Source organism: Homo sapiens, chromosome 14 (genome assembly GCF_000001405.40).
Source record: "Homo sapiens chromosome 14, GRCh38.p14 Primary Assembly".
Lineage (NCBI taxonomy): Eukaryota > Metazoa > Chordata > Mammalia > Primates > Hominidae > Homo > Homo sapiens.
The window spans coordinates 87,600,558-87,623,034 of record NC_000014.9 but is presented as its reverse complement, the minus strand read 5'-3'; the positions used below and the strand labels follow the sequence as shown (position 1 = coordinate 87,623,034).

Below are 22,477 nucleotides of genomic sequence, written 5' to 3'. Positions count from 1 at the left end.
GATAACAACATAGGCATTGAAGGTCCACCCAAGTGTCAACTTTTCTGCTAAACAGTGAAACTCTTGTAAAAAATAAGAGCGGGACAAGATCACATGGGCTTGGCAGGGAGAGAGGGCTCCCTGGAAAAGGTAATATGGTTTGGCTCTGTGTCCCTACCCAAATCTGATGTTGAATTGTAATCCCCAAAGTTGGGGGAGGGATCTGGCAGGAGGTAATTAGATTATGGGGGCAGATATCCCCCTTGCTGTTCTCATGATAGTGAGTGAGTTCTCATGAGATCTGGTTACTTAAAAGTGTGTATCATTTCTCCCTTCACTCTCTCCCTGTCTCCAGCTGCCATGTGAAGCTGTGCTTGCTTTCCCTTTGCCCTTTTGCCATGATTTTAAGTTTCCTGAGGCTTCCTCAGCCTGCCTCCTGTACAGCCTGTGGAACCATGTCAATTACATTTCTTTTATTTATGCATTACCCAGTCTCAGCCAGTCCTTTATAGTAGTGTGAAAACAGACTAATACAGACAATTGGTACCATCAGAGTAGGGCACTGCTATGAAGATAACCTGAAAATGTGGACGTGACTTTGGAACTGGATAACAGGTACAAGTTGGAAAAGTTTGGAGAACTTAGAAGAAGACAGGAAGATATGGGAAAGTTTGGAACTTCCTAGAGACTTGTTGAATGATTTTGACCAAAATGCTGATAGTGATATGGACAATAAAGTCCAGGCTGTGGTCATCTTAGATGGAGATGAGAAACTTATTGGGAACTGAAGTAAAAGTCACTCTTGTTATGCCTTAGCAAAGAGACTGGTGAGATTTTGCCCCTGGCCTGGGGATCTGTGGAACTTTGAACTTGAGAGAAATGATTTGGGATATCTGGTGGAAGAAATTTATAAGCAGCAAAACATTCAAGAAATGACATGACTGATTTTGAAGATGTTCAGTCATACGCATTCACAAAGAGATTATATGAAACTGGGACTTTTATTTAAAAGGGGAGCAGAACATAAAAGTTTGGAAAATTTACAGCTTGACCATGTGATATAAAAGAAAACCGTATTTTCTAGGGAGGAATTCAGGCTGGCTGCAGACATTTGCATAAGTAATGAGGACCTGAATATTAGCAGCCAAGACAATGGGGAACATGTCTCAGGGTATGTCAGAGATCTTCATGGTAGCCCCTCTCATCAGAGTCCTGGAGGCCTGGGAGAAAAAAATTGTTTCCTGGGCCAGGCTCGGGGTCCTGGTACTCTGTGCAGCCCCAGGACATGGTGCCCTGCATCCCAGCCACTCTAGCTCCTGCCGTGGCTGAAAGGGGCCAAGATACAGCTCAGGCCATTGCTTCAGAGGGTGAAAGTCCCAAGCCTTAGAGGCTTCCATGTGATGTTGGCCCTGTGGGTGCACAGAATAGAAGAGTTGAGCTTTGGGAGCCTCCACATATATTTCAGAGGATGTACAGAAATGCCCAGATGTCCAGGCAGAAGTCTGCGGCAGGGTGGGGCCCTCATAGAGAATCTCTGCTAGGCCAGTGCAAAAGGAAAATGTGGGATTGGAGCCCCCACACAGGGTCTCCACCAGGGCACTGCCTAGTGGAGCTGTGAGAAGAGGGCCATTGCCCTCCAGATGCCAGAATGTTATATCCACTGACAGCTTGAATCATGTGCTTGGAAAAGCTACAGCTCATGAAAGCAGCTGTGGGAGCTGTACCCTGCAGAGTCACAGTGATGGAGCTGTGTGGGAGCCCATTCCTTGCATCACTGTACCCTGCATTTGAGATATGGAGTCAAAGGAGATTTTGGAGCTTTAAGATTTAATAACTGCCTGGCTAGGTTTTGGACTTGCATGCAGCCTGTATCCCCTTCGTTTTGGCCAATTTCTCCCATTCAGAATGGGAAAATTTACCCAATGCCTGTATCTCTATTGTATCTAGGAAGTAACTAACTTGCTTTTGATTTTACACGCTCATAGGCAGGAGGGACTTGCCTTGTCTCAGGTGAGACTTTGGACTTGGACTTTTGAGTTAATGCTGGAATGAGTTAAGACTTCAGGGGACTGTTGGGGAGACATAATTCTGTTTTGAAATGTGAGAAGGACCAGAGATTTCAAGGTGCCAGGAGCAGAATAATATAGTTTGGTTCTGTGTCTTCACTGAAATCTAATGTTGAATTGTAATCTCCAATGTTGGGTGAGCGACCTGCTGGGAGGTTATTGGATCACAGGGGTGGATTTCCCTCTTGTTCTCATGGTAGTGAGTTCTCACAAGATCTGGTTGTTTAAAAGTTTGTAGCACTTCCCCCTTTGCTCTCTCTCTCTTTCTGTCATGTGAAGATGTTCTTGCTTCCCTTTCACCATTTTAACGTAATTGTAAGTTTCCTGAGGCTCCCCCAGCCATGTCTCCTGTATTGCCTGTGTAACTGTATGCCAATTAAGTATCTTTTCTTTATAAATTACACAGTCTCAGGAAGTTCTTTATAGCAGTATGAAAATGGGCTAATACAAGAGGCAAAGTTTAAGGCGATATGGATAGAATTTGAATTGCCAAGGATGCTGTCAGTGGAAAATGAGAATGGGAAGGCTTATTTGTGGGGACACAAAGACCAACGTTTTTAAGAGATTATACTTGGGAAGAATGGAAGTGTTTCCTGCCAAGCGAGGGCAGAGAAGACTCATTTCGCAGAACCCATTGCTTGCTTTAAAAATGTCAAAATGTCCTTCTTGGGACACTTTCTTGTATAACAGCTTATTCTACAGAAGATAAAGTTCCTGCTGGAGAGGGAGCATCAATGTTGAACCCCTCTTGCTTGCTCTCTCATCCTCAAGATCTTTTCCACAGACACACTGAACTCCAAGCTTTTACATTCACCTTTACTGTGACAGGGTATTGGGCTTGTTCTGATGGTTTAATAATCTCTGCCGACGAAATGTAAATTGTGGGAGTGATTTGGGGACTGTGGACAACTGACCATAGGAGCAGGGTAGAGGGCTTCTAATACTTTTCTTTTCTTTTTTTTTTTTATTTTGAGATGGAGTCTTGCTCTGTCAACCAGGCTAGAGGGCAGTGGCACAATCTTGGTTCACTGCAACCTCCGTCTCCCAGGTTCAGGCAATTCTCCTGCCTCAGCCTTCCGAGTAGCTGGGTGCACACCACCATGCCCAGCTAATTTTTGTATTTTTAGTAGAGATGGGCTTTCACCATGTTGGCCAGGCTGGTCTTGAACTCCTGACCTTGTGATCCGCCCACCTCAGCCTCCCAAAGTGCTGGGATTACAGACATGAGCCACCGTGCCCGGCCTCTAATCATTTCCTATAAATAATTGAACTTTTTTTTTCAGCTGGTAGTGATTTTCTGTCTTGCTTCGCAAAGCCTGAACTTGAACCAAGAAGCAAATTGTTCTTTGTCCACAGGTTGTCTGACTAAAAACAATGGGGTAAATAATGGACACAGGTGGTTAAAGGAAGAAAGCATGGTTTTTCTTTTGCCACTGATGAGTTTTAAATAAATCTGTTTTCTAGGGCTTAAATTAAGAATCCATCACCGTACAGTGAGAGGCATAAACAGAGCTCCTTCTCTACTTCCTGCTGAGGGTCAGAGAAAGCTGTTTCTGTGTTTGTTCTGAATAGAAAAATTTAGCTGAGGGTCAAAATGATAGGGCAAAACTTCAGCAAATGCACGTAACACAAAGCAAGGCCTAGTCTATTAAGATCCTATTAACTGGCTCGCAAATTTTCACAAAAATACTGCCAAATTTGCCTGTTGGTTTATTACTTATACACCAAGAGAAGTCTCTTGGAGGAGATCAGGAAGACAATTTTGACCAGCCAATCTGACTGAGGGTTTCTGATGAAATGACAAACACAATAGAATTCAGAAGGGTTAAGAAATGAGGTAGAATATGAAAGCTAAGTTGTATTACTGTGATTTGCCTTGTGTGAAGCAGCTGGAGAGATAAGTGGGTTAAAATTTTTTTTTTTTTTTTGAGACGGAGTCTCACTCTGTTGCCCAGGCTGGAGTACAGTGACATGATCTCTGCTCACTGCAACCTCCGCCTTCTAGGTTCAAGCAATTCTACTGCCTCAGCCTCCCGAGTGGCTGGGACTACAGGTGCCTGCCACCACACCCGGCTAATTTTTTGTATTTTTAGTAGAGATGGAGTTTCACCATGTTAGCGAGGATGGTCTTGAAATCTTCTGACCTCGTGATCCGCCTACCTCAGCCTCCCAAAATGTTGGGATTACAGGCGTGAGCCACTACACCTGGCCTAAAGAATTTGAAAATCTGCATACATCCACTAATAATAGAACCTGGGATCCCTGTCCCTCTGCTTCATGAGCAGAGGACAAGCCTGGTTGCACAAGCTAGGAGAGTAACCTATGAGAGCTACCACCACTTTGCTATATCTATAGGATATTGGCACCGTGCCCTAGGAGAAGAGCCTAGTCTCCAGAGTTGCCTGTTTTTGCAGTGAATCTTCTGTAACACTTAAGACTTACCGCTACATAATGGGTGAATCTGCATTCGTACTAAAATTACTCTGAGTTCTAGGACATTGGGCCCAGGGAAGAATTATGTTGGAGGAGTGGTCACAGAAGATAAAGCGGCTGTCAGTGACTGCAAACGACAAGTTCCTTGAAAATACTTTCTCTGTGTTACGAGATCAATGGGCATTCATTGGGATTTATTGATAGGCCAGGGTGATCTACTAAGAAGGTCTGGGTTTTAATGTACTGTTTAGAGAACTGGAAGAGGATTTGATGACCTGCCCTGGAAGCCTATGTGACTTTGGTTAGAAAATCCACCTTTGTGCCTTGATACTTCAGCTGATAGAATGGCAACAATGACAATTGCAGGCCATTAATCGAGGACTGGTACCAGGGCTCCTATTACCTTCTGCTGCAAGGAGGAGGATACTAAACTGATGGTTGAGCCTAGTAGATGCTCCCTTTAGGAGAAGACACTTATCACCTCATCTACTGAGAGTGTTAACTATTGACAGGTCATCGCTGTGTTCCTTTCAGGACAGGGCTACATTGCTCAAGGTCATGCCCTTCCCCTGGTATAACCTTTATCCAGTGACTTTTCATGACAGGATACAAAGGCCCAGCCTTCATGCCTCAACTCAAGACAACTTGAAGTGCCATCTCAGATCCAGAGCTTCATGTATGATTGACTGAGGCCTTTGTCACACCTGCGTCACAGTTCATCTTCTCTTTCTGCCCAGCCTTGCTCTTCTGCTCCCCGCTTCCCTACCAAACCCAAAGGTTGATCCTGAGATGTCCTTCAATAACCTTTCTGCATGTGAATCTTTGCTTTACAGTCTGGTTTCTAGGAAGACCAGTCTCCAAGAAAGAGAGTCTAAGATACTGATTATGACTTAGATATTCTAGAACCAGGATTTTAGCTAAGTTCTTTAGTTTGAGTTTTTAAATACCATTGAAGAAGGGCTTAAGAGATGTTTATCATAAAGGGTCACAAGTTACAAAAGGCTTAGCCATGCTATCATATACTTTCAGGGACCTGCAAGTAGCCAGGAGATGGATTTTGTGTGGACCTGGGAACATTCTAGAACATTAAATATAAAACCTGTCATCTAGGTGTCAGGTTTCTTGGATGGGTACATCTGCTTGCTTAGTGTTATATTGTGTTTACAATGCAGTTTTTATTCAGCCAGCTTGGCTGTTAAAGGGCAACAATCCTCTCGTTCACACCCTGAACGTTGGCGGATTCTAATCCTCCCTCTCTGTTCTGCTGCACTTCCTCTCACTGCAGATAATTTGGGGAAGTTCATTTCCTTTGTTGTCTTTCTCTTGTTCTACACTGAGGCAACATTGTTGTTTCCAGGGAGACAGTGAAAAGAAAAAGTTAATTCAAAGAGCTCTAAAGAGAAATATTAATAAAGTACACGAGAGGCCAGTAATTCAGAGGAAAGCAGAAACATCTTTGAGGAGTCTGCAGATAAACAGAGAGCTTTTCACAAGGACATATGAATATTCAAAGGTCTTCATAAAAGCTGAAATATATTTAGTGATTATAGCAATGGATTAATATTTACCATTAGGGAGCCTATTACTCAATAGTTGGAAAAGCCACAAAACATCTAGGTGCAAAAAGTAAATTATAGATGATACATTTTCTTAACATCTGTCGTTGAATAAGGTTGAGAGCAACCTATCTTTTTCAGTACCCATCCATCAACATAATACCTCTTGTCATTTTCTGTAGTTCACTGTTCTATTCTCCCTAGTACCTTTTATTTCCTTTCATGTTATAGAATTTTGGGACTTTTTGGAAGCGGTCAAAGATAGTCATTATTATCAACCACTGCTGTGCTTCTTTTTATTTAAATCAGAATAGGGAGGTTATGTGGTACTACTGGACAAAGTCTATTACCACTATTAAAAAAGCAACTTGAGAAATCTTAGGTGTGCAAATTAGTGTGGGAGTGGTCAAAGAGAGACAGAGAGTGAAGTGATAGGCCAAGGTGAAATTTGAAGTCTACACCAACGGGCAGTGAAGACGGCAGAGCAAGAGGTATTTAGTCATCTGGATGTGTCATCTTAAGTCGAATGGGGAAGAGGCAAATTCAGCTTTTCAAATAACTGCTTTTTCTAAAACAACAAAACTATCAAAAAATGACTTAATAGTGAGAAGGTAGGCAGAATAAATGATCTGTGGCCTTTTATGTATTGGTCTGTGCTTACCTAAGTAATAGCTGTTTTGATGTAGTCAATGGCCCCTGGCCATGCACTGGGGGCTTTCTTCAATCCAAGAAAAAGTGTGGCCACTGGCCACTAGAGAGCAGCAGAGAGCTAAGAACAGATCTGAGGCTCCTGATGGAGGGACTTCGACACGCCAAGGTTACCACCTCCATCAACCCGCTACCTGAGATAGATGTTCTCCCCACCCCAACCCACTTTGTTGTTGTTGTAGTTTTTGTTTGTTTGGGGAAGATATTCCAATCAAGACGCTGCTTCTGAGGTTGAATGATGCCGGGTTATCATTCAGGAAGTTGTAGCTGTAAAACCTCTCTGTGCCTCAAGGTTGTCATCAGTAAAATGGGGCTACTAATAGCACATAACACACGGAGCTTCTGTGAGCACTAAGCACAAAGACACGGGCATTCAGTGGCTACTCAGTGAACAGTGCCATCGTAAACATCATAATCATTCTGTGGGACTGGGCTTGTTCAGAGCGTTTGGGGTTAAGGTTTCTTTAGACTACTTGGTGCAGGACAGATTTCCTAATTAATTATAGTAGTGTTTCCTTCTGAGCTCAGAAGTGGTTTACAGTCTGCGTCCCCACATGCTGCAGCTGCAATCACTCTCAAATAGCCTCTCACAGATGAGGAGACCTGGCTCACTAAAGATGATAGAACTGACGGGAGATGGAATTAAAGTCTTAAAGAATCCCCTGCCTAGATACCACTCAGGACATAGGCAGTGGCAAAGATTTTATGATGAACATGGGAAAAGTAATTGAAACAAAAACAAAAATTGACAAACGGGGTCCAGTTAAACTACAGAGATTCTGTACAGCAAACAAACAAAAAACCACCCCCCTCCAAAAAAAAAAGCTGTCAACAGAGTAAACAGACAGAATGGCAGACAATTTTTGCAAACTATGCGTTCAGCAAAGGTCTAATATCCATCATCTATGAGAAACTTAAAAAAAATTTACAAGAAAAAAACCACAACCCCATAAGGAAGTGAGCAAAAAAATAGACACTTTACAAAAGAAGATATGCATGCAGCCAACAATCATATGAAAAAAGCCGAACATCACTGATCATTAGAGAAATGCAAATTAAAACCACAATGAGATAGCATCTAACACTAGTCAGATGGCTATTATTACAAAGTCAAAAAATAACAGATGCTGGTGAGGTTGTGGTGAGAAAAGGATGCTTATTAGTTCAGCCATTGTGGAAGACAGTGTGGCGATTCCTAAAAAACCTAAAGAAGACAGAAATACCATTAACCCAGCAATCCCATTACTGGATATATACCCAGAGGAATATAAATCATTCTGTTATAAAGACACATGCATGCGTATGTTCATTGCCAAACTATTCACAATAGCAAAGACATGGAATCTATCTAAATGCCTGCCAATGACAGACCAGATAAAGAAAATGTGGACCATGGAATATTATGCAGCCGTAAGAAATGAATGAGATCGTGTCCTTTGTGGGTACATGGGTGGAGCTGGTAGCCATTATCCTTAGGAAATTAACACAGAACAGAAAACCAAATACCGCATGTTCTCATAAGTGGGAGCTAACTGATGAGAACACATAGACACAAAGACGGGAACAACAGACATTGGGGCCTTTCAGAGGGTGAAGGGTGAGAGGAGGGACAAGATCAGGAAAAGTAACTACTGGGTACTAGGCTTGATACCTGGGTGATGAAATAATCTTTACAACAAACCCCCATGACACAAGCTTACCTATGTAACAAACCTGCATTTGTACCCCTGAACTTAAAATAAAAGTTGAAAGGAAGAACCCCCCTGCCTAAAAGTGATGTTCCTTCTGAAAGTAGGAGAGGCTGGTTTGGAACAATGAAATTAGAAAATATGGTTTCATTACCTTTCAGCCAAAGGTCACTTTAATTGGGCAACTTTATTTTAATTAGAAGTTTTTAGGGTCTTGCTGTTCCCAAAATGTTGGTCTTCAAGAAGGTTAATATTTCTGTAATATAGGTAAATTCCAAACTGGCCCTTGGTTGGATATTCCAGTAAAATAAGAGCTTACTGAGCCCCTGCTCTGGACACAGTATTGTGCTGGATTCTATGGGAGATCCAGGCAGTGTGGAAGAAATGGTCTACAATTCAGGATCATAACAGCCGACACAGTAGGGGGCTGGATGAATCCAAGATGCTTTCCTGTATTTATTACTTCCTGAGGGATTTTTCTGCACAGAAAGGTAACTGGAAGATGTAACTCACTAGTTTTCCAAATAATGACTCATAGGGTTAAGACTGGAGTCACAATGCCAGAACCATATTTCTTTTGTTCACACTCTGAGGGGTGTCGTAAATATCACAAACTATTGACTTTTCACTACCTGTTTTCTCTTTTTTCTGGTTAATGATGCATCCAAGTTGGCTTAATGGACAAAGTTACTCACTAATCACCAGGATAGACAAGTAAACAAAAAAGATCTACAGTAAAAGTATAGTGTGGGGAAAATAAATTGGGGCTTTGGTTGAAGTACGCTAAATATAAGTCAATGGTGGGATGTGGCAGGCAAAAGAGATAACGCAATCTGGAATTACTAATGCCCACTGTCTGAAGGAGGGAAGTGTTAGACCAGTGGCTCTCAATATCTTTAGTCACTGATGTATTTGAAAATATGTAAGCTACGAAACTCTCCTAAGAAATAGTCATATACATATACAAATTTGAACAGACTCTTACAGATTAAATGTTCTTACCTCACCACAATGTCCTGTCAATATTGAATTAATTTCATATTAATCATGTCCTATATATAGATGTACAGGCACTGTCCATGCCTATGAAAAAATAACCAGTCTCCTGTTCTCTCCACCCACCTTAGAGTATGTAGGTGAGTGGGTTCTTGCATCATAGTGATTCTAAATGACTAGAAGTGAAGGGTCTGTCTGGCACAGCAGTTGGGGACCAGTACTGAGATTTCAGGACTTCCGATATGACCGTCTTTGTGGATCAGGCTGCCTTTACATTCAAGGTCGGAAGCAGAGGTGAGGATAAAATTCAATAGCTGCTAACTGCATTGCAGTCAATAGACCCATAAAGTAGGGGGGTTATGTTGGAATTTACTAGATAATGAGATGCATCCTAGAATGTTTAGGGGAAAGTATATGGATGTATAGAGTTAACTTTGAAATGCATCAGAAATAAGATGGATGGATGTATAGACAGTAGAGTAAATGGTTAGATAATTGATAAGCTAAAAATGTTAATGGTGAAATCTAAGTCATGTACACTGTAAAATTCTTTCATTTTTCTGTTCCATATTAAAAGTATAGAGAAATATAATTTGGAATTCACTCAGCCAAGTCAATCCCAATGGCAGTAACTAATTCAATGGAAATATTCCATCACTGTGATTATTTCCAGGAAATGAAACTTAACTCACAATAATTAATGCTGATTGTGCTTGTCATTAATCTTTTTGGAATCTGTCTCACTCCATTTTCTCAGTTTCGTATGACAGCCATTCATAGAGAATTGGGTTTTATAGAGCAACACTTTCTCCTCATGCTTGAAGAAGGTGGCTGTAGTGGTGGGAAATGTTCTGTGTGGAGGGCATTTGCTGTTCTAATTTTCTCAAGGGGCAAAATGTAATGGAAACATAATAGAGTAAATGCTCATGGATGTAAAGCGTTTTTAAAAAGTTGCAGTTTTATGTGTTTCTATCTTTCTTGTATTTTTTTTAAGATGGAGTCTTGCTCTGTTGTCTAGGCTGGAATGCAGTGGCCCATTCTCGGCTCACTGCAACCTCCGCCTCCCATGTTCAAGGGATTCTCCTGCTTCAGTCTCCCAAGTAGCTGGGATTACAGGAGCGTGCCACCACACCTGGATAATTTTTGCATTTTTAGTAGCGACGGGGTTTCACCATGTTGGCCAGGCTGGTCTCGAACTCCTAACCTCAGGTGATCCACCTATCTCAGCCTTCCAACGTGCTGGGATTACAGGCGTGAGCCACTGTGCCTGGCCAGCATTTTTTGGTGTTTATTTATAGCATAATTCATTTGCTTTAGATCAAGATAAATAATACCAGCCATTTCTATATGTAAGTCATTCTGTCTCTTCTGGACCCAAAGTATATTAGTTATACCGTCCCTGTGCTTAGGCTTACTCAGTGCTTAGGTCAACAACCTGTTGGCTGTTTTATTGCTTTGTGTTTCTTAGCAGAAGTGTGTGTGTGTGTGTGTGTGTGTGTGTGTGTGAGAGAGAGAGAGAGAGAGATTCTGTCCTCCTTGCCCTGGAGCCCATCACCTGTACATTTAATTTTCATTGCATGTAATGATAAAAGACAGTCCTTTGTTATTTAATTGAAAATAAACCTACTTTTGCTTTATTCCATGACACAATTTTTAGAATTCCGTATGACCTTTTTTTTTTGGAGTGGGGGATAAATTTATACTTAGAGGAAAGTCACAAAAATAGTACAGAGTTCCCAAACATGCTTCACCTGCCTTCTCTAATGCTGACAAATGACATAACCATTGTATAATCACTAGCATCAGGATATTGATGTGGTTACAATAGTGTTAATGAATCCATGGACTTTATTTGTATTTCACTGATCTCCCCACAAATATGGTTCCCTTTTTCTGGTCTGCGATTTAGCCTAGTATCTCACGTTACATTTCGCTGTTGGGTCTTTTCTATACAGTAGTGTCTCTCGTTTCACTTTGCGCTATTTCAGCTACCTGCGGTCAACCATGGTCCAGAAATATTAAATGGAAAATTCCAGAAACACACAATTCATAAGTTTTAAACTCAGTGCCCTTCCGAGAAGCATGATGAAGTCTTGCATCGTCCGACTCCATCCTGCCCAGGATGTGAATCCCCCCTTTGTCTGCCATCTCCACATGGCTTATTCCACCACCTGTGAGTCACACAGTAGCTGTCTCAGTGATCAGATCAACTGTCGCTGTACTGTAGTGCTTCTGTTCAAATCACTTTTTTTTTTTTTTTTGAGATGGAGTCTCACTCTGTCGCCCAGGCTGGAGCGCAGTGGTGTGCTCTCAGCTCACTGCAACATCCGCTTCCCGGGTTCAAGTGATTCCCCTGCCTCAGCCTCCCCAGTGTGTGCCACCACACCCAGCTAATTTTTTGTATTTTAGTAGAGACGGGGTTTCACCATGTTGGCCAGGATGATCTCGATCTCCTGACCTCGTGATCTACCTGCCTCGGCCTCCCAAAGTGCTGGGATTACAGGCATGAGCCACTGCGTCCGGCCTCAAGTCACCTTTATATTTAATAAGGGGCCTCAAAGTGCAAGACGAGTGATGTCGGTAATTCAGAATTGCCAAAGAGAAGCCAGGAAGTGCTTCCATCAAGAGAAAGGATGAAAGTTTGCAACTTTATAAGAAAATTTTAAAAATCATATGCTGAGGTTGCTAAAATCTTCACTAAGAACAAGTGTTTCTTTTGTGAAATTATGAAGGGTATTCTGTTACAATTATTCTATTTTGTTATTAGTTATTGCTGTTAATCTCTTACAGTGCCTAATTTATAAATTAAACTTTATCATACATATGTGTTTTCAGGTAAAAACATAATATCGATAGGGTTTGTACTATCCATGGTTTCAGGCATCCAAAGGCAGTGTTGGAATATATTCCCTGTGTATAATGGGGTCTACTGTAAATTCCTAGAAGTGAAATTGCTGAGTTAAAATGTAATTCTATGTAGTTTTATTAGACAATGCCAGAAGTCTCCCGGAGGTTTATACCAGTTTGCATTCCCACCAGCAATGTATGAGTGTGCCTATTTCCTAAAAACATAACCAACAGAATGTGTTCTCATACATTTTGTTCTGTCAGTCTAATAGGTGAGAAATGGTATCTCACTGTTTATTAAAATTGTCATTTCTCTAATTATGAGTGAGCTTTAACATTATTTATTATTTGAGGGCTATTTTTATTTAATTTTTGTGAATGGTCTGTTGATACCTTTTCTCCACTTTTCTATTGGGATTTTGGTTCTTTACTTTTCAATTTTTAAGAGTTTTTTTTTTTTTTTTTTAAGTTTCTCTTTGGTATTTTTTCCATATACTTTCTTCCAGGGAGTCAATTATCTTTTTACTTTGATTTGACATTTTTTCCTCTATAAAAAGATTTTTAAAAGTTTATGCAATCACATTTATCAATCTTTTATTGCTATACTAAGTTAGAAAGCTTACTGTATACTGAGGTTAAAAGGGAATTCTCTTGTGTTTTTCTCTGAGACCTGTATGCTTCCTTCTCTTCTTCCTTCTTTGCATTTAGATTCCTGATCCATCTGGAGTTCATTCTAGTGTATGGTGTGAGGTATTGATCTTTTCCTAAGTGACTTTATAGTTGTCCCAGAACTCTTTATTTGAAAAGTTTATCATTGTTCCAATGATTTAAGATAACATTTTTATCTTATATTAAGCTTTCACTGGTATTTGGCTTGACTTCTAGACTTTGTATTTTGTTCTACTGATCTGTTTGTATATTCGTGTACCAGTATCACCTTGTCTGAAATACAGAGGCAGTGTAATATGTCCTAACTTCTAGAAGGCCTGGTTGCCCTTGTTTTCTTGCTCACAGGACTGACAAAGGCTTCAACATTTTTTCCCTCTTGTTCATTTTAAAAATCATATTTTTCTTTGTCTCGTTTAGTGTTCCTTATATTTAATTCAATTTTGTTAGATGTGACCACTACAATACTTTCTTTTACAAGTTTGAATTTATCTGCATATTTTCATTTTTCCCCTTTAAGGAAGAAAAAATCCAAGTAATATATTCACAAAAACAAATTGTGCTAAAAAGCTTATTTTAAAAAAGGAAAAAACAACAATAAAAATCGGTTTCCTGGTCTCTCTGCACCCTACCTGCATTGTTACTTATCACATGCAACCAACTCCTTATACTCCTTTTCATGTTTTTAGTATTTACTTCTATATCATTAATATTATGCTTATATTATTATTGCTTTATTTGTTACTTAAAACATAGTTTTCTGACTTTCAAGGTAGTGGAGATGTTGCTTTCCACTCTCCCCTCCTTGAACCCCAATCATCTTTAACCAGGAAAATCCCAAGACAACACCACACATTTTCTTCCTTAATGATTGTATTATTTTTAACATTGAACTTGATTTTATTTTTTAGTAGTTTATTTCCCTCCAGTAATTTGGAATACATAGTCAAATTTTTTGTTCTTCTTGTAATTGATTTGAGTATTTAGCTAAAATGCATAATATTTATCAGTTTTTGAAATTAAAACTGATTTGGTGAGTATTGATTACTCCCATGAGAGATGAGGAAACTAGTTCACTTTCTGTGACTCACAGAATACCTACAACCCCTTTCTACTTTCTGTCTTGTATTGGTAGACTCAAGAGATTTCATTACACTTCATTATAATTAAAATAATAAATAGTTACATGAAGTATAATGAAACTATTATAAACTATAATACTATAATAAAATGAAATACTATAATAAACTATAACATAATACTGTAAGACTGTAATAAAATTTTTTTTGTTCAAGAATTAAAATATTCACATTCAGTTTTATAAACATAGCCAAAATAGCCACCTAGACTAAATTATCTACTGAGATAGTTCTAAGGTCTTCCTAATTCCTTCATAGAAAGATTCGCCTTTTGTGATTTATTTTGATTTTTACCTTGATTAGCAGGGTTATGTCCTTGTGATATTTTAAAGAATAGTAGATATTAATATGCTTCCTGAATCCCTGCATATTTGAGAATTTCTCTGTGTTTTTGTCATAAAGAGTGAAAACTAAGTTGGGGAAAATTCTTGGATTATACATGCCAGCACAATAATCATGCTTCCTGTACAGCCTGTGGAAGCATAAGCCAATAAAACCTCTTTTCTCTATTAAAAAAAAGAATTTAGTAGACTTTCTCCATTGTTTTTTGGCATCTACATTTGTTTGAAGAACTCTGGGGCTGGTTTTCAAATTCAATAACTTATTCAAGAATAAACATACAATCCTCAATGTTTATAGATGTTAAGTGGTGAATGTTGATTCTTTTAAATCTGCATCCCAAATGTATTTCAATTCAGGAACTTAGTTAAATTTGTGCTGCTGTAACAGAATACCTAAGACTAGGTATTTATAATGAACAGAATGTATCTCTCACAGTTCTGAGGCTGGCAAGTCCAAGATCAAGGTGCCAGCAAATTCAGTTGTCTTGTGAGGGCTGCACTCTGCTTCCAAGATGGTGCCTGGTTGCTGCATCCCCTGGAGTGGAGGAACGTTGTGTCCTCCCATGGAATGACAGGGCCAAAAGCTGCATGAAGCCTTTTTAATAAGGGCCTAATCCCATTCTTAAAGGAGGACCCTTCATGGTCTACTCATTTCATAAAGGCCTTGCCTGTCAATCCTATCACATTGGCCACTAAGTTTCAACACCTGACATTTTTCCAATTTTTTATTATAGATAATGTTTTACAAATCCAGTATCATTTTTTTTCTGCAGTGCTTATTCAGCATTTTGCTGCTGCAATTGTTTTAATTCCATTTCCCTTTATAATGAAAACTGTTTTGTTATTTCCTCTTTAATATGAAATATGGGATATACATGTTATCTGCAATTTCCTTGAGAATATGAAACATTGTTGAAATATTACTTTTCTTTCCTGAGATAATTTTTAACACAATTGTCTTCTTTATTTATAGGCTGTTTTTCTTTCTTTCTATTTGGTGTTGTCATTGCAGACTACTTTTGCATATGTCTCCTCTCTCCCATTTAAAAACTATTATCAATCTCTTGAGTGTTGACAATTCTATCCAAGTCTTCGTTTTGATCCTTCAGTCTGCACAAAGATTCATCTGGTTCCCTTCTTTGTTTTCATGGTGATAGGGTTTGGCTGTGGCCCCACTCAAATCTCATCTTGAATTCCCATGTGTTGTGGGAGGGACCTGGTGGGAGATAACTGAATCATGGGAACAGGTCTTTCCCGTGCTGTTCTCATGATAGTGAATAAGTCTCATGAGACCTGATGGCTTTATAAGGCAGAGTTTCGCTGCACAACCTTTCTCTTTGCCTGCTGCCATCCATGTAAGACGTGACTTGCTCCTCCTTGCCTTCCACCATGATTGTGAGGCTTCCCCAGCTATATGGAACTGTAAGTCTATTAAACTTCTTTCTTTTGTAAATTGCCTAGTCTCAAGTATCTTTATCAGCAGTGAGAAAAGGGACTAATACAGTAAATTGGTACCAGTAGAGTGGGACACTGATGAAAAGATACCTGAAAATGTGGAAGCAACTTTGGAACTGGGCAACAGGTAGAGGTTGGAACAGTTTGGATTGCTCAAAAGAAGACAGGAAAGTGTGGGAAAATTTGGAACTCCCTAGAGACTTGTTGAATGGCTTTGACCAAAATGCTGATAGTGATATGGACAATAAGGTCCAGGCTGAGGTGGTCTCATGGAGATGAGGAACTTTTTGGGAACTGGAGCAAAAGTGACTCTTGTTATGTTTTAGCAAAGAAACTGGCAACATTTTGCCCCTGCTGTAGAGATTTGTGGAACTTTGAACTTGAGAGAGATGATTTAGAGTATCTGGCGGAAGAAATTTCTAAGCAGCAAAGCATTGAAGAGGTGACTTGGGTGCTGTTAAAGGCATTCAGTTTTAAATGGGAAACAGCATAAAAGTTTGGAAAATTTGCAGCCTGACAATGTGATAGAAAATAAAATTCCATTTTCTGAGGAGAAATTCAGGCCGGCTGCAGAAATTTGCGTAAGTCATGAGGAGCTGAATGTTAATCACCCAGACAATAGGGAAAATGTCTCCAGGGTATGTCAGAGACATTTGCGGCAGCCCCTTCTAACACAAACATGGAGATTTAGGAGGAAAAAATGGTTTTGTGGGCTGAGCCCAGAGTCCCTTTGTTGTGTGCAGTCTAGGAATTTGGTGCCCTGCATGTCACCTGCTCCAGCCGTGACTAAAAGGGTCCAGGGTACAGCTCAGTCTGTTGCTTTAGAGGGTACAAGCCTCAAGCCTTGGCAGGTTCCATGTGGTGTTGAGCCTGCCAGTAAGCAGAAGTCAAGAATTGGGGTTTGGGCACCTCCACCTAGATTTCACAGGATGTATGGAAAAGCCTAGATGTCCAGGCAGAAGTTTGCTGCAGGGGTGGGGCCCTCATAGAGAACCTCTGCTAGGGCAGTACCTAAGAGAAATGTGGGGTCAGAGCCCCCACACAGAGTCCCTACTGGGGCACTGCCTAGTGGAGCTGTGAGAAGACAGCCACCAACTTCCAGACCCCAGAATGATAGATACACTGACAGCCTGCACTGTGCACCTGGAAAAGCCACAGACACTCAACACCAGCCCATAAAATCAGCTGGGAGGAAGCAGTACCCTGCAGAGTCATAAGGATGGAGCTACTCAAGACCATGGAATCCACTTCTTGCATCAGTGTGACCTGTATGTGAGACATGGAGTTAAAGGAGATAATTTTGGAGCTTTAAGATTTGCCGTCCCCACTGGATTTTGGAGTTGCATGGGGCCAGCCTGTAGCACCTTTCTTTTGGCCAATGTCTCTAATTTGGAATGGCTGTATTTACCCAATGTCTGTACCCCCATTGTATCTAGGAAGTAACTAACTTGCTTTTGATTTTACAGGCTCATAGGCAGAAGGGACATGCCTTGTCACAAGTGAGGCTTTGGACTGTGGACTTTTGAGTTAATGCTAAAATGAGTTAAGACTTTGGAAGGCTGTTGGGAAGGCGTGATTGGTTTTGAAATGTGAAGACATGAGATTTGGAAGGGGCCAGAAGTGTAATGATATGGTTTTGCTGTGTCCCTACTCAAATCTCATCTTGAATTCCCATGTATTGTGGAAGGGACCTGGCTGGAAGTGACTGAATCATGGGGGCAGGTCTTTCCGATGCTGTTCTTGTGATAGTGAATAAGTCTCACAAGATCTGATGGCTTTATAATGTGGAGTTTCACTGAACAACCTCTTTCTTTGCCTGCTGCCATCCATATAAGATGTGACTTGCTCCTCCTTGCCTTCTGCCATGATTGTAAGGCTTCTCCAGCCACGTGGAACTGTAAGTCCATTAAACTTCTTTCTCTTATAAATTGCCCAGTCTTGGATATGTCTTTATCAGAAGCATGAAGATGGACTAATACACATGGGTAGCATTCTAAGATTTCCTTGGGGAACAAGCACAGAGGTGGGGAGCAATATTTGATAAGTTTCTCCCCAGTTCTCTTATTTGACTCCCTGTTGCTGACATGAGGAAAAGCTGGGAGTAGAGACTGGCCATACATGGCCAGAAAAATCTTACTATTTTCTTACCCTTTTTAATGAATTATTTATTCTGCTTTTTGGAGGAAAATTTACAAACCTCCACTTATGAGACTGTCTTTTTTATCCAGGGTTTTTTTCTGTCTGCCTCTCTGTCAGTTTGAAATGTTATTTACCTTCTGTTTTTCAACATACATGCATATGTGTGTGTGTGTGTGTATACATGCATGTGCATATGTAGTATTTGTGTGTGTTTAGAGACAGAGAGAGAGAGAAAAAGAGATAGAGAAGAGAAAGGAGCGAGAAAAATCAAAGAGAAGAGAAGATAGTAAGAGATAATCCAGCTAGATAATGATATACTATAGGTTGAAAGCTCTCTTAACCCTTTTCATATAATCCATGTGCCCAACTCAGTGCCTTTCTTAAAATAAATTTGCATCCCAAATTTATTTCAGTCCAGGGACTTTGTTTTGTGCTGCTGTAACAGAATACCTGAGACTCAGTATTTATAAAGAAGAAAATTTGTTTTTCACAGTTCTGAGACTGGGAAGTCCAAGATTAATGTGCCAGCAAGTTAAATTATCTGGTGAGGGCTTCTCTCTGCTTCCAAATGGTGCCTGGTTTCAAGTGGCAGTAACAGTATTTGTGTGTGGACCACTGACTCAGCCAGGCATGCTACTAAGCACTTTCACATAAAATATTTTATTTCACATACTCAACAGTATTAATGTGATATTTACCTTATTGTTCCATTTTATATAATAAATTTATCAGAGGCTACATTGTCAGTAAATGGAGAAGCCATGACTCCAACCCTGGACTGTCTGACTCCAAGGCAAATCCTCTTGACCAGCACATGTCCCTCTTAAACAACTTCTAATATTCTCCTTTAGCTGTGGGCCTGACTGCCTCAGATCTCAGGGGGCCGGGACCATGAACACCTGAGCAGTATCTACTGTTGTTTTGTGTTTGTTTGTTTTTATACAGAGTGACCAGATTTCAATCCCCCTCATGAAAAAGTTGAAGATACCTCATAATTTCTTAGAATTTAACATGACATTATAAATCCAAACTTTAGTGGCTGAGAGCCAGCCATGGGAGCTGCCTTAGGAGGAGTTGGTACTTTCCGTTGATGGCACATACTCATGAACTATAGGCTGCAGCATTATCCTAGGACAATTGGAGGGAGCTCTTTCAGTCCTTCCTGGTAGTTTGGCATATTAAACTTTGTCTGGTCTGTGTCATCCTAAATAACAAACAGAGAGAGGTTCTGTAAAAGAAAACATGCTTATTTGACAATAGAGTGCTGTAATGGTTACATAGTTATATGTAAACTATGTAATGACATAGCTTACATGTCAGTAAACTATGTGTTTTCCGGGAGGTAAAAGATAAGTGTTTGGATGGAAAAATAAGGAGGATTATATAACTGTTTTGAAATAATGATCTTGGCTACAGAGAGCAATAATAAAGGTCACTCTAGTCTGAGACTGCACAGGCAGTTGCTGGGCAGATGTTCTCATAGGAGTATTGTTGTGTACGGCTGCAATGACCTTTGCATAAGGTTATACTTTTCATAGGGTAGGGTCTTCTGTTGTTATAATGTATAACAACAAAACCCTTTCTTCATGAGGGCCCTCTCTTCAGGGTCTTCCCTGGCTGTGTTTGTCAGGGCTTTTTTGTGCTTTTTACATTAGCGACTCTATTTTCACTTTGACAACTTTCATGCCTGATTGGATCCTGCCTTCCTCAGCCTTTTGTGGATCTCAGGCAATTGATCTTAGGAACTTGGAATATGCCTGTACTCTTGATTTGGTGGCATCTCACTGACCACATAAGCCACGTTCTCAAACCTTGGCTTTCTTGCTTTGACCTTCATTGCATTGGATTTCAACATGACCTGTAAGGACAGTGGTGCCCTGGTTCCTTCTAAGCATTAGATCTTGCCCAGGATGTTGACACTGAAAGGGTAGACAGGACAGTTCCTATGTGTGGATGACATTTTAAATGAATTGAAGCATTGAAGAAATGGGAAGTCATTTCACCTAAATCTATTAAGAAGAAGAGAAATAAAAGAAGAAAAGGGAAGAAGGGAGAGAGAGAGAGAGACTAAGACTTTATTTGTCTCAAACTTTCTTTAGGCACTTCACAAGCTTAGGGATGAAAGCTCTGTTTGGGGCAGCACAGAACAGCTATATTGATAATTGAGGGCAGATAATAACAAATAATTGCTAACACTTTTACAGCACTTACTAGTGGCCACATTTAATATTTAATCCTCACAGCAAGCCTATATGGTAGGTATTATCATTATATTTCTGCTTTAGAGATGAAGAAATTCCAGCTCATAAAGAGGGAGAGTGGCACTTCCCATGTTCTGAGTGGGTGAGCATGACCCAGCCCTTCCTTGTTGTAGACTGAAATGGAGAGAAGATTTTCACTGGAACTAACTGAATAGTCTTCAAGCCTTGAGCTTTTATATTTTCAGGACTGAGTGCCCTGCTGTCTGCTGCCAATATGGCCTGAGATTCCAGCCACAGTGGGCTTGATGGCACCGTGTCACTCAGAAATGGGGGACAAAATGCCTGTCACATGCCAGGAAACTCTGAATGTTGCCCTGAAGTAACAATTGCACTTAACAATCAATAATCAATTTTTACCAATTCACAGATATTTCTTTTCCCCTTTCTGCCCTTTCAGATTCTTTGCTCCATTCCTTGTTTTCTTTTTCCAAAAATAATTCACATATTCTTATCCAAGAAACCTTAATTCTCTTGAATTTTTTTTTCAGAATTCAATGTCTGAAGATCATGCTTTGATTTCAAAATGGCCACTTACTCCATTACTAGATAGATTCTGAAGTGGGCTGAACTGGACACTGGAGGTGGTGGATAATTAAGGTTTCTTGGATAAAGGATATGTTATTTCTGCCCTTGTGGACACTTCCTTGAGTGTGTAGAGAGAGGTGGAGGGAGGTAGGACTGTGGTTAGTTTCAGTCTCCTTTTATTGGAGGTCCTAATATTGCAAGATATTGAATACTTGGAAACCAATTCAAGTGAGGTGTCCTCTATAAAGTGATTATAGCATCATTACCTCATAAGCCCTCAAGGAATCAAGATACTCATGGAAAGGATATGTGATTAATTGCCTTTTCTAGTTTACAGAAATTTATGCGGGAAACTGTTTCTTTCAATTAATGTTGAGACCCTTTTTAAAAACAAGGGCATTATAGGAAGCACAAATGAATCCTTTCTTTTTGTCCTGGAAAATTTATAGTACCTGAGGACTGTCATTCTGAACTTCATTTTCATTATGTAGTAATATAGTTGTAGAAGGTATACGTAAACAGCAGAATGTGTACAAATCCCAGGTTATCCCTGAGAACACAGATTACAAATAATTCTTGACACAAACCTGTTTTGTTGCCATTTTTTTTTCTTTAGGGTAATAAGGTGTAATGGAATGAGAATGGAACAAGCACAGGATCTGGAGACACAAGCCAGGTCTCCAGTCACTGCTTAGCCGGAGATGAATGGCTGGAGACCTTGGACACAATGCTGCCTTGGGTCTCAGGAGGAGTTGCACCAGAAGATTTGTAAGGAATATTCCAGCAGTAATATTTGATGATTTATGAGTTTGGGGAGGGAAAGAAAAAAAAATAAAAGAAGGAAGGAAGGGAGAGGGAAGGAGACAAGGAGGGAGGGAAGACATTGAAAGAAATCAGGACTGGTTCAAATTAGTTGGGTTTCTCATCTGCTTGTAACAAGGACAACACTAGTGATGCATAAATATTCAAACCTCCCATCCCTCTGCTTTTTAACAGAGATGGGGTGGGGTTGTGGGGGAAATGAGTTACTTGGTGTCCAGCCAATTGTCTGGCCATGGTTCTTTTTGGATGATCAGAGTAGATGTCTAAAGCTGCAGAATTGGGAGTAGCTGAGAAAGACTAGATTTATCCACATTTAAAAAGGCAGACAAACCAAATCTGGAAAAGTAAGTTTCTGGGGTAGAGATTGTTGAGCAGCTGCTGGGAAGATTTGGGGGAAATAGATGAGCAGAGAGGATATTTAGGAAATTTTGCTATGTGTGTCATGAAAATGTAAACTATGCTTTCCACTCTTCAAGACTTCAGTCAATGCTTAAATTGTTTCTTAATGCTCTTTATTTGTTTGACTTGTGTCTTCCTTGAGTATCACACCATGCCAAGAATGGCCCCATTTTATCAGTGTTAGAAGGGATTTTGTTCGATTGAGAATGGGGAAATGTAGGCAGATTCAAACTCTCATGGAGCATCCAGACAATACTTGTGTTAGGCTTTTTTCGAAGTGGACTTCAAAGACTATAGAGCTGAAGGAAAATGGAGAATCACAAAGGCAGGATGAAACTTTGACAATAATATGCAGGTCTTTGGTTGGTAGTAGAACAATAAAGTTTGTTGTTGCTTTGTTCTTAAATGAGAAATGTTCTTTGGATTGCCCATCTGCCTTTTTTGATTCTGAAAAGTC

At 40.1% G+C, this 22,477-nt stretch overlaps 1 long non-coding RNA gene across 1 annotated transcript in view; it reads left to right on the top strand.

The window, feature by feature from the left end:
• Window positions 1–9,571: 9,571 nt before the first annotated feature.
• The window catches only part of LINC02296 (long intergenic non-protein coding RNA 2296), a 268,818-nt gene continuing 255,912 nt past the window's right edge, over window positions 9,572–22,477 (top strand). Inside the window, exons 1-2 of the long non-coding RNA XR_007064294.1 lie at window positions 9,572–9,720; window positions 21,416–21,567. This is a non-coding gene — a long non-coding RNA (long intergenic non-protein coding RNA 2296). The remainder of the gene's footprint in view (window positions 9,721–21,415; window positions 21,568–22,477) is intronic.